The 14,407-nt window shown below is 39.8% G+C and overlaps 1 long non-coding RNA gene and 1 pseudogene across 1 annotated transcript in view, besides 1 other annotated feature; both read right to left on the bottom strand.

The window, feature by feature from the left end:
• LINC01162 (long intergenic non-protein coding RNA 1162) overlaps nucleotides 1-10,283 on the bottom strand; it is a 187,718-nt gene extending 177,435 nt beyond the window's left edge. The window contains exon 1 of the long non-coding RNA NR_126381.1: nucleotides 10,210-10,283. This is a non-coding gene — a long non-coding RNA (long intergenic non-protein coding RNA 1162). The remainder of the gene's footprint in view (nucleotides 1-10,209) is intronic.
• RPS26P30 (ribosomal protein S26 pseudogene 30) lies at nucleotides 1,747-2,084 on the bottom strand (annotated as a pseudogene).
• Nucleotides 10,349-10,849: an enhancer, noted in NCBI's record as "H3K4me1 hESC enhancer chr7:20874484-20874984 (GRCh37/hg19 assembly coordinates)". NCBI's record gives its function as "activates a minimal SCP1, AML or CMV promoter by ChIP-STARR-seq in naive H9 embryonic stem cells {active_cell/tissue: H9 hESC(naive)}" and the evidence as "EXISTENCE:reporter gene assay evidence [ECO:0000049][PMID:30033119]".

Here is a 14,407-nt window from a genome sequence, read left to right as displayed (position 1 = left end):
TCGGCCTTGTTATTTTCATAGTATTATCTTTGCTTATGCATTTTCCCACGTGTTCTCCCTTTTCTCTAACTCTCCCTTTTGATTGACGTTAGAAAACAAAACTGATAGAAACTCATTAAACTAGAGTTTGACTAGCTTTGAAGAAGAAAGGGAGCAGGATATTTACCACCAGGTGTTCTATGTCCCATTGTATTCACCCTGTTCTCTAACAATTCACTGTTATAGATATAGAAATAAGAGCCAAAAGAAAGGACAGGTAGACATAAAATGAGAGAAAGAAAAAAGAGGAGGACGATGAGAAAGAAAGGATGAAAACTGAAAGGCAGAATCCTATTCCAACCTATTTACACAGGATCAGAAATAGTACAGAGGAATTTCAGCTACCAAAAGGAGAACAGAAGGTCAGATGCGGTGGCTCACGCCTATAATCTCAGCACTTTGTGAGGCCAAAGCGGGCAGATCCCCTTAGGTCAGACCAGCCTGGCCAACATGGTGAAATCCTGTCTCTACGAAAAACACAAAAAATTAGCCGGGCGTGGTGGCGTGTGCCTGTAGTCCCAGCTACTCGGGAGGCTGAGGCAGGAGAATTGTTTGAACCAGGGAGGTGGAGGTTGCAGTGAGCCGAGATGGCACCACTGCACTCCAGCCTGGGCGACAGAGTGAGACTCCGTCTGAAAAAAAAAAAGGAAGACAGAAATGTCATTCTCTATATTCCCAGTTTCAGAGGATGCCTCAGATCTGAGTACAGAAAGGATGGCAACAAATTAAGACCAAAGTCACCAGGAATTTTAAAGCACGTTGGTCACTTACATACCTGCAGTATCTTCTAAGTTGGTAGAAAACAGCTGCAAAAAGAGAGTGACAAGCTTCTGATGGAAGTTGCCACAACATATGCCTTATTTTATTTTTATTATTTATTTATTTTTATTTTCAGTTTAGTTTTTGAGATGGAGTCTCACTCTGCCGCCCAGGCTGGAGTACAGTGGCATGATCATGGCTCACTGTAGCCTCGATCTCCTGGGCTCAAGCATCTTCCTGCCTCAGCCTCCCATGTAGCTGGGACTACAGGTGCACACCACTGCACCCAGATGTATTTTTTCTTTTTATTTTTGTAGAGACTGAGTCTCACTATGTTGCCTAGGCTGCTATTGAACTCGCGGATTCAGGTGATTCTCCCACCTCAACCTCCCAAAGTGCTGGGATTATAGGCATGAGCCACCGTGCCTGGCTTATTTTAAATTAAAGCTGTTTGCTGACTTCCAATGACAGATCAAGGTGGGATAGTGGAAGCACTCAGCCTGGGCACCCGAGACACATGAGTCGCAAATATTAAAACAACAGAAGTGCGTAAAAATCAGTCTGTTCTTTATTAACAGCATGCATGGAAAGCTCTAAATGATATCCACGGTAAGATATTCCTTTCTACCAAAGCAACTCACCCAACCCAACCACATTCTGCCTCTTAGTACTCCACTGCTTATTTTAACCAAAACTTTAAAAGATTTCTGCTCTTTCAAACCCCTTGATACTTTAAAGCCAGCTTCACACATACATTCAGAACCAAAAACAAATAGAAACACTCCAAAAGCATTGAACAACTGAATTCTACATGAGGCTTTGTTGGCAGGCTAAAAGAGGAGTTACATAACGGACAACGTAACCAATCTTTTTTTTCTTTTAGGTACAATTTCCATTTTCTTTTTCTCCAGAGGATAATTTTTCATCAGTCCTTAAGGACTGAACTCCTTACATGGGCTTTGGCGGGGGTCATGGGGCAGCACCCGCAGGTCTAAACTGGGTGAAGGTGTTCGGTCCTTGCAGGCTTCACAAGATCGATTCCTGACTACCTTGCTGTGAATGGCACAACTCACAGCGCAACGTAACTTCCCATACAGCTTGGGAAGCACTTCGCTGTTGAAGATACTCACTTTAGAAATGTCCCTGACAGCTGTGGCCTCTACTGTGTTTCGAATGACGAACTTTTTAATAGCATTGGGCATGCATTAGGCACAATTTGTGCAGCAAATAAGCTACATATGGTCATGGCACTTTTGGGCACCACCATTGTTCTTTCTTTTCTTTGTCGTCTTGGAAGCGAGGACCTGAGGGAGGGAATCTTTTAAAAAACCCTTTCTCCTCTATCCCTCATCTCCTTTCTCCTTTTTTGAAATCCCTCAGGTTCTCTTCCCTTATCCTGTTACATGAATCTTTTTCCTTTTTTCTCCTCAAACTCTGATCCCCCTCTTACTGTCTCCGTCCCTTTCTTCTTTGAAGAAATGTCCCAAATTTGTACCTTCACCCACTAGGCCCCTCCACAAACAAATGTAATAAAAATGTTCCTGGGATTATATGCCATTCTTAGAGAGTCTTAAAAGGCCAGGGTGGAGGGAGGGCATTTGTAAATAATTAATAAGAATTTAACACATCCAGTTGATAAAATGATAAAAATGTGAGCAACTACATTGTCAGATATGTATTGGGTGAACTATAGCACTCATTTAAATATATTATAGAAAATCACCAAAGGACTAAAGTGTGAATGGAAAGTGTTTTCTAAAGGCCTTTCCTTTTATTTATATTACACCTTCTACTATGAAAATAACATATATTTCATCTATGTTGGCTTAGCATTTGTGGTGTCCAATCTTACAACATCTATAATATCAAGGGAAAATTCCTGATAAATTAAAAGAAGGTTTGCATTTTGAGACTATATAGCCACCTCAAGTGCTTACCACAGAGCATGTTTTTCTATAGTATTCTTCTTTATACAAGTTGCTTATCATGAAATTCTCCAATAGTAAAATGGAATGGGAGGTTTAAATTGCTTCAGCACAATTCAGCAAGGTTTCAATCCACTTACTGAAATGCACTTTTGCCTACAAGCACGTGCCCCTGTTTAATGATGCACTCACCATACACTATACAGGTGAGAAGTGCTTGTACTAAAATGTTCCCTCTCTGCTTTCCCAGAGAGCCAGAATGAGAAAAATAGTGGGTTCCCTTCCTGAAAGCTAAAATGACCGGGAATCTCTGCTGGATGAAGTTTAGTTTCTGCTTGCTAATGTTTCTCACAGCATCAGGCCAAAAAAAAAAAAAAATGAAAAAGTAGAATTTTTTAAAAAGTAATTTTGTCAGGATGGTTTATTTTCAAGATAGAGAGCTAAATGTCAATTCTAGAATATAGAAGAAAAAGATAATGTATTAAGAAATGTGCTATCCTTTGCAGTATACACTAAATAGAATTCTCATAAGGCACCATCTATGTATAATTATGTTATTTTAGAGTAGACTCTAACAATATCAACTGCAAGTGATCTGCCAAAAGATTGATCTAAGCCAGGACCCCATTCTCTCATCCAAGAAAGGCCTGAAACACTATGTTCCTGCTCTATAGCCCTGTCACCAATGAGCAATCAGAATTACATTATTTCCCACACAATGACAAACATGGAAGATACTCCAAAAAGTCCTTGAGCCAGGCACAGTGGTTCACGCCTGTAGTCTCAGCACTTTGAGAGACCAAGGCGGGAGGATGGCTTGAACTTGAGAGTTCAAAACCAGCCTGGGCAACATGGTGAAACTGTCTCTACAAAAAAATTAAAAATCAGCCTGGTGTTGTGGTGGATGCCTATAGTAGTTCCAGCTACTCAGGTGGCTGAGGCAAGAAGATCACTTGAGCTTGGGACGTTGAGGCTGCAGTGAGCTGTGATTGCACCACTCTACTCAGGCCTGGGCAACAGAGTGAGACCCTGTCTCAAAAAAAAAAAAATTCTTGATATTCTAGAATTTTGGTCTCCCAAGTTTTTAGATAATACACTCCATCAGTAAAAAATGTCCAAGTATGAACTGCAAGTAGTTGTAAATTTTTCATTTTAAAATCATAGGCTGGGCACAGTGGCACACGCCTGTAATCCCGACAACTTGGGAGGCCAAGGTAGGTGGATCACCTGAGGTCCGGAGTTCAAGACCAGCCTGACTGACATGGAGAAATCCCGTCTCTACTAAGAATACAAAAATTAGCCAGGCATGGTGGCAAATGCCTGTAATCCCAGCTACTCAGGAGGCTGAGACAGGAGAATCGCTTGAACCCAGGAGGCAGATGTTGCGGTGAGCCAAGATAGTGCCATTGCACTCCAGCCTGGGCAACGAGAATAAAACTCTGTCTCAAAAAATAAATAAATAATAAAATTATATACGTGTGCTGTTATATTAGGTATATCTAAAATAAAAAAGAAAATTTACCAAATAAAATAATAAAGCATACAGTATTTTATTAGGTGATAGTATTTTTAAAAACACAACTCTCGGCCAGGCGCGGTGGCTCACGCCTGTAATCCCAGCACTTTGGGAGGCTGAGGTGGGTGGATTGCCTGAGGTCAGAAGTTTGAGACCAGCCTGGCCAACATGATGAAACCTCATCTCTACTAAAAACACAAAAATTAGCCAGGCGTGGTGACAGGCGCCTGTAATCCCAGCTACTTGGGAGGCTGAGGTAGAAGAATCACTTGAACCAGGGAGGCGGAGGTTGCAGTGAGCCGAGATCGCACCACTGCACTCCAGCCTGGGTGACAGAGCGAGACTTCGTCTCAAAAAAAAAAAAAAAAAAAAAAAAACTCTCATTAAAAATACAATGTTAATTAAATTAATACAATAATATGTTTGAATATTTTCACCAATTTTGGTTTAACAACTTGTGACAGGATTTGAAGGTCTGCTTCTAAGTTCAGTTTCTTTTGCTATGATTTTTTAATGATAGGTGAAAAAGATTTCTCATAAATATATATAAATCCCAAATGCAAGAACTGCATCATTTGGCTGTGCTTAGTAAATCACGATGCACTTTTTTTTTTTTTTTTTTTTTTTTTGAGACAGGGTCTCGCCCAGACTGGAATGCAGTGGCACAATCACAGCTCACTACAGCCTCGACCTCCGGGCTCAAGCCATCCTGCTACCTCAGCCTCCCAAGTAGCTCAGACCACAAGTGTGTGCCCTGATGCAGGGCTAATTTTTAAAATTTTTCATAGAGACAGGGTCTCCCTATATTGCCTAGGCTGGTCTCAAACTCCTGGGCTCGTAGGATCCTCCCACTTCAGCCCCCCAAAGTGTTGAGATTACAGGTGTGAGCCACCTGCCCAACCATGATGCTCGTATTTTAATCCCTCACCCAAATATGATGATTTTTGGTGAAATTCAGCCAATAAATTTCCATTTTCTCTAATGTCCAATCATTGTTGCAAACTAATCATAAATGTGTTCAAACACATAAAAATTCTTAACTTGGAAGATATGAAAAAATATTTTTAAGTTCTGGTTCAAAATTTTTGAAGTGTACCAAAATAAGCAATTTCTTATGTAACACATCATTTTCTGCAAAATCATATAACAATGGAAACATTTCCCATCATTTATTTTTAAACACTCCTTAACAAAAAAAGAAAAAAAAAAGAAACTCTCACTTACTGTGAAAACTGCTGTTATTGTGTGGGTACAAAGGAAGTGAGCAAGTATGTGTGTGTACGTGCCTATGTTAATTTTCTACTAGGTAGCATTCTATTCACAGTTACATATCACAGAAAGGTCAGCCTACTTGGAAACTTGTATTTTGTAAAAGCAATGTGAACTATTTGTCTTTAAATTTGACAATTCCAAATGTTTTGTCTCAAAGTAACCACTGAACTGTACGTAAGGCATAAGAGATTTTCATGGTCAACCCCCCATCTTATGACTAAACACTGGGAAGATTCCATAATAAACATATTCTATAGTATAATCCATAGATTCACTTAGGATAGACACATGTAAGCTAGGTGGCTCCGAAAGGAATGAAAGAAGAGAATGTCCACTCCTCTTTACATTAGACGGTCCCTTCTATTTGAAGGATAACATGCCCAAAAAATCACATGAGCACCTAATATACAGGATATCAATCATAGTCAAGCATAATTTCTTTATAATTTTTTAGACCAAAGAAATACAGAAACAGAAATTCTAATATTTTCTTCATATTTGACAATAAATTTCTTGAATAATCCCTGGGAGTACTTCAGAGTAATGGTCCTGAGTGTGGTTCTGAAAATACTACCTGGCATTGAATTACTCCAGGACCTTGTTAAACTAGCAGATTCCCAAGCCTCATCCAAACCTATTGAGTCAGAATCTCTGCAAGAGGTGCCAAGATCTCAGTATTAGTAACAAGCAGGTCATGCCAGTTATTTACCACTGCATAAACAACCATTCCAAAATGTAATGGCTCAAAATAATGACTGGTTTTTTTTCTTGCAATTCTGTGGATTGGCTGGACTTGTGCTCCATAGTGATATCAGCTGACGTCACTGAAATGGCTGCATTCTGTTGGGAGCTCTACTGGACGGAATTACCCAAGAGGGTCTCACTCATGGCACTTGGTGCTGACCTTCAATGGGGCACCAAAGTCCTCTTCCATGGGGAATCTCTCTCTCTCCTCTAGTCCCTCCCCATTCAGTAGTCTACTCTGTGCTTCTTCACATGGAAGCTTATTTCCAAGATCATAGACATGAAAATTGCCAGGTCTCGGCCAGGCGCAGCGGCTCACGCCTGTAATCCCAGCACTTTGAGAGGCCGAGGCGGGCGGATCACGAGGTCAGGAGATCGAGACCATCCTGGCTAACACGGTGAAACCCCGTCTCTACTAAAAATACAAAAAATTAGCCAGGCACGGTGGCGGGCGCCTGTAGTCCCAGCTACTCGGGAGGCTGAGGCAGGAGAATGGCATGAACCCGGGAGACGGAGGTTGCAGTGAGTCGAGATGGCGCCACTGCACTCCAGCCTGGGCGACAGAGCAAGAGTCCGTCTCAAAAAAAAGAAAAGAAAATTGCCAGGTCTCTTCAGAGCTAGTCTCAGAACTGACTCAGAGACTCCTCTGCTGCTTTCTGTTGATCAAAGCAAGTCATGTGACCTGACCAGATTCAAGGAAAGGGAAACAAGACTCTACCTTTTGATGGAAGGGGCACCGTGAAGGTACAGGGTTAGGAAGAGCTATTGGTAGCCATCATTGTAGACTAGTACTACACAGATGATAAAATTTGAGAACAGCTATTTTAAAGTGATAAATCCAATAAAGACTGTTGAATTTAACATAAGAGCAGTTTTTAGTATTCTTAATGAGTTTTTGCATCAAACTGTTACTAATAAGCGTAACAACCCTAGACTGAAATATATGTACACGCAATGTAGAATACTCCAGAAAAGTGGTTTCTTTCTCATAATGCTAAATTGTATTATAGTAATTACTTTTTTAGTTTTTTAATCATTCATTCCTGAGACATTGGTTTCATCTTTGCAAAATATAAAATTGTAAATAAATAAGAGTATTTGGATTTAAAAAGTGTTAATGAAAGAAGATAACAAAATTCTTTCAATATCATGGTTTTATCTTAATCAAACCAGCCACGTGTATTGAGGAAGCTGGCAGGAGCTGCTCTCAGTGTAAGACCCTACGATTTAAGGCCTTCTACCTATCATGAGATTAATCCCTTCGGTTAGTTTGTTTTGGTTTTTTGGGTTTTTTAGAACGAGAAAAAAAAGGACCACAGAGAACTTTCCAGATCAATGAGAGTTAACCCAGCTTTCAAATACAGGAAATATTGGCTGTAAGGATATCATGCAGTTTCCATCAGAGATCTTGAGACCCGCGGCTTAAAGGAATGTATTATTTTTCTAAATCCTGAATTTGAATCATGTAGTTACAAAGAGCAGTGTTAAGGGCTGAGCATGGCTGACCGTCCAGCATCTGCTTTTAATTCAGCTTTGCTGCACTCTACTTGTCACGACTAAATTTTATAGGAAGGAATTAAATGCTTTAGATCAGAGGTCAAAAGCTAAAGACCCACAGGCCAGATACAATGACAGACATATTTAATTTGGCCTGGATGTTTTTTAAAATTGAAATTAGTTGTCATCATTAAAGAAAAAAAACAATACTTCAAACTTCTCAAAAAAGAAAATCAGGAACACTTAATACTAAATTTGCATTCCCTTATGACATCACAGGACTAAAGTTGATTACGAACTGGCCCCTGAAGATAGGTCATGCACTTTCCAGTGAACCATACTCCTCACTCTTCTCTGCTGTCTTCCTCTAGAATTACACCATTTACATTCTCTACATGATGTTTGGAAGTACTAGATTTTTAGTTTTTTTGCAGCCAAAGCACTATTTAGAAATTCAGGGATTTGAAAAGTGACTAAAAGATTCATTTGTAAATATTTATAAATATCACAGTTCTACTCTATTTCAGGCTAGACTTCCCTGCTATATATCCTAGCACATATTTTGATATACCTTGCCTGCACTGCAAATTGAAACCCATTTTTATTTCTTTTTAAAGAAATAAAGCCATTTTTAAAAGCTGTCATATATTAAGAAGAAGAATAGAATTTCTAAGAAAAAATCAAACTAATGAAATTTTTTATGTAGAATCATATTTTGCGTTTGTTTTCCCAGTTGAAGAGAAAAAGGGGGTGGGGAAATATACTCTGAAACAACACAAAGCGCAAAATATTGATGCAGCAAAATTTGTTAAATTTTTTTCTATCACATAGCTATCGCTACTTAAGGGCCACTATCATCATCACAAAATCTAAAACAAAACACAGGAATTTGTCCACTTCTTGATATAGCACTGCCATTAATATAATTTCTGTGCTTACTAAAACTGTCCTACCAATACACAATATTTTTATGTAAAGGATAGTAAGAGTGCCAAAAGAGCACTCAAACTGGGGTAACCAGAAGACATGTGGATGCAAATTCTAGCTCTACCAGTTACTCTCAGCAGATTTTGGGCAAGTCAACTTACCTCCGTATACCAGTGACATGATACAGTTGAGACTCAATATTTAACATCCAACTAATTCTTAACCTTTAAGATTTTAAAATTTATTATTCTAAGAAACTTTCTCCCAATCTGACTTGTGTGTGACTCTCTCAGAGTTTTACACCTTTAAGGAACTGAATTTAGTTACTGATCTACTTCGACTTCCTCAAAAGAGAGCTCCCCATGTAAGATTTTAAAATTTATTATTCTAAGAAACTTTCTCCCAATCTGACTTGTGTGTGACTCTCTCAGAGTTTTACACCTTTAAGGAACTGAATTTAGTTACTGATCTACTTCGACTTCCTCAAAAGAGAGCTCCCCATGTAAGTTAGTGTTTGTATTAGAATGGGGCACAATAGTTTAAAGATATGGCATTGGGGAGCACAGCATTGGCATTAAAATAAAATAACATTAAGCTCTAATATGAGATTTGAAAAACACAGTCTGGGCAGAGGGTCCAGTGAATCTTAGCAGGAATAACCAGTCTTCAGCATTATCAGCTTAGTGCTGACTGAAGAGTCATTTGGCTACATGTGATTTTTACACATCTGTCAACTAAAGCAGAGCTCCAAATGAAAAATCTGGCACATAGAAACATTATGGGGATTTGTGAGTCCCCCTGGAGAATTTTGGGTCCATAAACCAATGAATAGATTACTATGACACACAAATGGAATATTTTCATCTGTGACAGACATAATCTCGCCCTGGTACTCTTTGTGTCATGTTGCAGAAAACTATACGCACTGTCCTCAGACCTGCTTTAGTTGCCCATGCTAAAAGATGAGTGACAACACTAAATATGGAAAACATTGGCCGGGCGCGGTGGCTCACGCCTGTAATCCCAGCATTTTGGGAGGCCGAGGCGGGCGGATCACGAGGTCAGGAGATCGAGACCATCCTGGCTAACACGGTGAAACCCTGTCTCTACTAAAAATACAAAAAATTAGCCGGGCGCGGTGGCGGGCGCCTGTAGTCCCAGCTGCTGGGGAGGCTGAGGCAGGAGAATGGCGTGAACCCGGGAGGCGGAGCTTGCAGTGAGCCGATATCGCGCTCCAGCCTGGGTGACGGAGCAAGACTCCGTCTCAAAAATTAATAAATAAATAAATAAATAAGTAAATAAAATAAAACATCTAAGGTTAAAGAACGGAACCACCCTTGGGAAGACCTAAATGCAATCTCTGTCAGTACCACTAACTGTGGCCTCTGAGTTAGCACACTAACTCCAGTCCTAATACAAGTACATTATAAATCACCTCAGCGGTCAAGACCTCATTCGTCGTCCTGCAAACCTGTGCCATAATAGGTTTTACTAGTACAAAAACTGAGGCTCACTGTGTTTGTAACTTACCTAAAGTCACATAGGTGATAAAGGTGTCCCTGAATCCAAATCCACATATTCTTTCCATTGAGACAGGCAGGTGGGAAGGCCTCCCTGGCAAAACTCCAACCGGCCAGTGCACTGGGAGGAGTGCGCACTGGGATCGAGCCACAGAAGTTCGCGCGTTTGCAGCGGGAGGAGCTTGGCCCCTCCTCTTCCTGGGTGGAACCTGGGATTCAATCTGTGAGGCGGGAAGCCCAGTGGCAGGAAGCACACTCTCTCGCTTTGCTAAGAGTCTCTGTTTCCCCTTTTCTTCCATTTCACCCAATAAACCCTGCCCTCCTCTCGCTTCAAATTGTCTGTGAGCCTAATTTTTCGTGGCCATGTGATAAGGAACCCTGTCTTTAGCTGAACTAAGCAAAAAGTCCCACAACACTATTATGCCATAAAATGTCTTTAATCTATAAAATTAGAAGATAGCAAGTCCTTATTGAGTCATGAATTTCATTTATTTATTCAAAAAATATGTTTATAACTTGAATGAGTCAAAACATGGGTATATAAAAAAGAGGAATTTACATGTCTCTAGAAGAAAAAGAAGAGATTGCAAGGGTAATATTTAGTGTCCTTTTGAAAGTACATTAGTGCCAGGCACTACATAAGTCTTCCTGAAGGTGGTAGTACAGGCAAAGCATGCACTCCAAGCTTTGGGAACAATTTTTAGAAAAATTTTTGAGGTCTTTATAAAAATTGTCAAGGAACTGTTAACATAATGACAGCAACATATACAAATGTCTGGAACACTATCATGTATTTTAAATCTATTTTTTGACACAGAGCTATTGGGAAATATTATGTCAGCCTTTCAAGAAGTATATAATTTTGAGATTGAATAAAATCAGGTTGTCTCCATGTTTACTTGAATTAATGAGATGTTTGATGTTGTCCACCTTCTCCCTTGTTGTCCAAACCCTAGTGAGTGCCCTGACTTGAAAGCCAAGTTCTCTGTCTGTAACCAAAGAGAAAAGCTCATCACCCTGGTTAGACAAAGTTCACAGCAGCCACAGCCTTCTGAAATGACACACTGCCTCCATCAGTGTTCCTTCTTGTGTTCTTTTTGTGAAGAGTGTGTTTGGAGTTACTACAGTTTTTGGTCATCAGTGAATGATGATATATCTTTAGAAAGTCTCTGTAAGGGTAACCAAGGTTCCCTGAAGATGTGTAAAGTCTCTGCACAAGTTTGAGCATTCTTAAGGAGCAAATTAATAGTATTTTGTATTTTTACATTTGTACAATGAGAAAACGTTCTATAGGTTTGATATTCTTTCCTGGAAATACTTCCACAGGAAAACAGTATATGGAAAACCCATTTTTAAGGCAAGTTTATGTTTTTACATTAAACAACAATTGAAAATAAAATATTTCCATTGGAATATTGGGATCTTGACTTTAGTCCGTTTGTCAATTTAACAATTAATGATAGAGCTTAGCAATGACATATAGCTAACAGCAAAGTACTTGTGGCAGTACCCTCCTCTTCCCCCTTCTCTCATGCTAAAGAATAAAATGACATATTTCCCAAGTTAATGGTCCCAGTTAGGGGCCAATTTTATTTTCAAATAGATACAGAATCACAAGAAGTTGCCAAAATAATACAAAGAAGTCCCATGTGTATTTCACCCATTTTCACCTTCAAAGATAACATCTTACATAACTAATACAATATCAAGACCAAGAAAATGACGTTGGTACAAGTACAGTCTTATTCAGATTTCACCAATGTTGACAGGTACTTGTGTGTATGTACATATGTGTGTGATTCAGACAATTTTATTACATGTAGATGTGATAAGGGTACAGATCTGTTTCATTACCACAAAGATCCCTAATAGTTCTATTTTATAGTTATACGCATCCATCTCCCTCCCAGAGACCATCTCTATCCTCTGGCAACAACTACTCCGTTCTCCATCTCTATAATTTTGTCATTTGGAGAATGTTATAGAAATAGAATAATACAGTATGTTACCTTCTGTTTATAACCTCTTTTTCACTCAGCATAATTGCCTTGAGATCCATCCAACTTGTTACATGTGTAATAATAGTTGATTCCTTTTTGTTGCTGAGTAGTATTCTATAGTATGGATGCAACACAGTTTGATCATTCATTCACCCATGGAAGGGCATCTGGGTTGTTTCTAATCTTTGGCTATTACAAATAAAGCTGCTATAAACATTTGCAAATACATTTTGGTGTCCATAAGTTTTCTTTTCTTTGGGTTGAATGCTCAGGAGTATCGTTGCTGGGTTGTATGGTAAAATGTGATTAGATTTTTAAGAAATGGCCAAACTATTTTCAAGTGGTTGTACCATTTTGCATTCCCACCAGTAATGTATAAGGGATCCAATTTCTCTGCATCCTTGCCAGCATTTGGTGTTATCACTTCTTTTTTAAAACATTTTAGTCATTTTGATTTCAACTGGATTGTTTTACTACTGAGTTTTTTTTTTTGTTGTTTTTTGTTTTTTTTTTTGAGATGCAGTCTCGCTCTGTCGCCCAGGCTGGAGTGCAGTGGCACTATCTCGGTTCACTGCAACCTCTGCCTCCCGGGTTCACGCCATTCTCCTGCCTCAGCCTCCCCAGTAGCTGGCTGGGACTACAGGCGCCCGCCACCACGCCGGCTAATTTGTTGTATTTTTAGTAGAAACGGGGTTTCACCATGTTAGCCAGGAAGGTGTCGATCTCCTGACCTCGTGATCCACCCGCCTCAGCTTCCCAAAGTGCTGGGATTACAGGCGTGAGCCACTGTGCCGGGCCTGCTACTGAGTTTTGAGAGTTCTTTATCACATATATGGTTTGGAAGTGGTTGACAAATGTTTTCCTTAAATTTGTAGCTTGTATTTTCATCTTCTTACTACCATCTTTCATTGAGCAAAAGTTTTTAGTATCGAAGAAGCCAATTTATTTGTTTTCTTTTATATAATTATAATATTGGTGTCATGTCTAAGAATTCTTCACCTAGCCCGAGGTTCTGAAGATTTTCTCCCATGTCTTCTTCTAAACATTTTTTACCATATACCATATCTCATGGACTAATGCTTTTACCCTAATTCATATCCCATATACTTAAGGTCTCATTAGAAACAAATGACACCCTCCAACAGATAATTAGATAAAGCTTAATAAAGCAACCATTTACAAAGGTGCAGGAAGAGAAAAGAGAAACCAAGAAGGGTGAAGCACCCTAGGGGTAGCAAAGTGGGGCACTATTACCACTCCTAGGCCTGACTGGGCAGGAGGGAGAGGAGGTACCAGGGAGCTATAGCTGCAGAAGTCCTCACAGCAGGAGCTGTGGCCTGCCTAGCAATACACTGGGGAGGAGCCAGGAGAATACAAAGCTAAACTTCCCCTCTTCCTTCCTATCACTTGGCACCAGAGAACACAACAGCTTGTTTACATACTTCAAACAAGATATGGTATCAAGAAAAGTTGGATTTTAAGAAAAGTACCAGAATCCCTACATTTACATTCTTAAAGTACAGATGTCAATAAAAAGAAAAAAAAAAGAGAAAGAGGAAAAGGGAAAATCAGAAATTCCAGTGTCAGCTTATCTGATCATACCAATGCTGCATTTGAAATAAAACATGTAAAATACAAGAAATGCTTACTCTAATAGCAAAGCAAGAATTTCAAGCCTTGCTGAAGCTACTAACTATCCACTGTTTTTCTTTCTTCCAAAGGCAAGCCATCCTGATCAGGGAGGTGTAGTGGCATTGCCTTCTCCAGCCTTCCAGGACTTTCTGGATTGTCAAGCAGTAATTAACTTGGTTGGGGGTGGGGGGTAGGCAGAGAAAGCTGGGAAGGAAAGAGAGCCAGTAGATGGCAGATGGTTGTCATTTAGGCATTTTTGTCCATGTGGAACAGGATCCTTGCCAAGGGCAGGCCTTCAGTTCCCAGGCTGGAGAGAAGGAGGGTGTTAGAAAACAAGCAGTGGCATAGTCCTAAAAACTAGGACTAATAGAGGAGTGGAAAATGGTGACCTGAGATCTCTGCAGAGTCTCAAGGTCATTTGGGAGCAAAGGATTCCAGATCCCAGACTTCAGGGCCGGCTGCAAGATTCTGTCTCCTGATTTGCATATGGACCTGCAAAACCCAGGGCTGGGCTGGTGACCACCATCTGAAGGGAAATCTGAGGCTGTTAACATATTTGATTAAGTTTAGTTTGGT

The sequence above is a fragment of the Homo sapiens genome, chromosome 7 (genome assembly GCF_000001405.40).
Source record: "Homo sapiens chromosome 7, GRCh38.p14 Primary Assembly".
NCBI classification, from domain to species: domain Eukaryota; kingdom Metazoa; phylum Chordata; class Mammalia; order Primates; family Hominidae; genus Homo; species Homo sapiens.
Note: the sequence above shows the minus strand (reverse complement) of the source record. Positions and strands in the feature narration are given on the sequence as shown.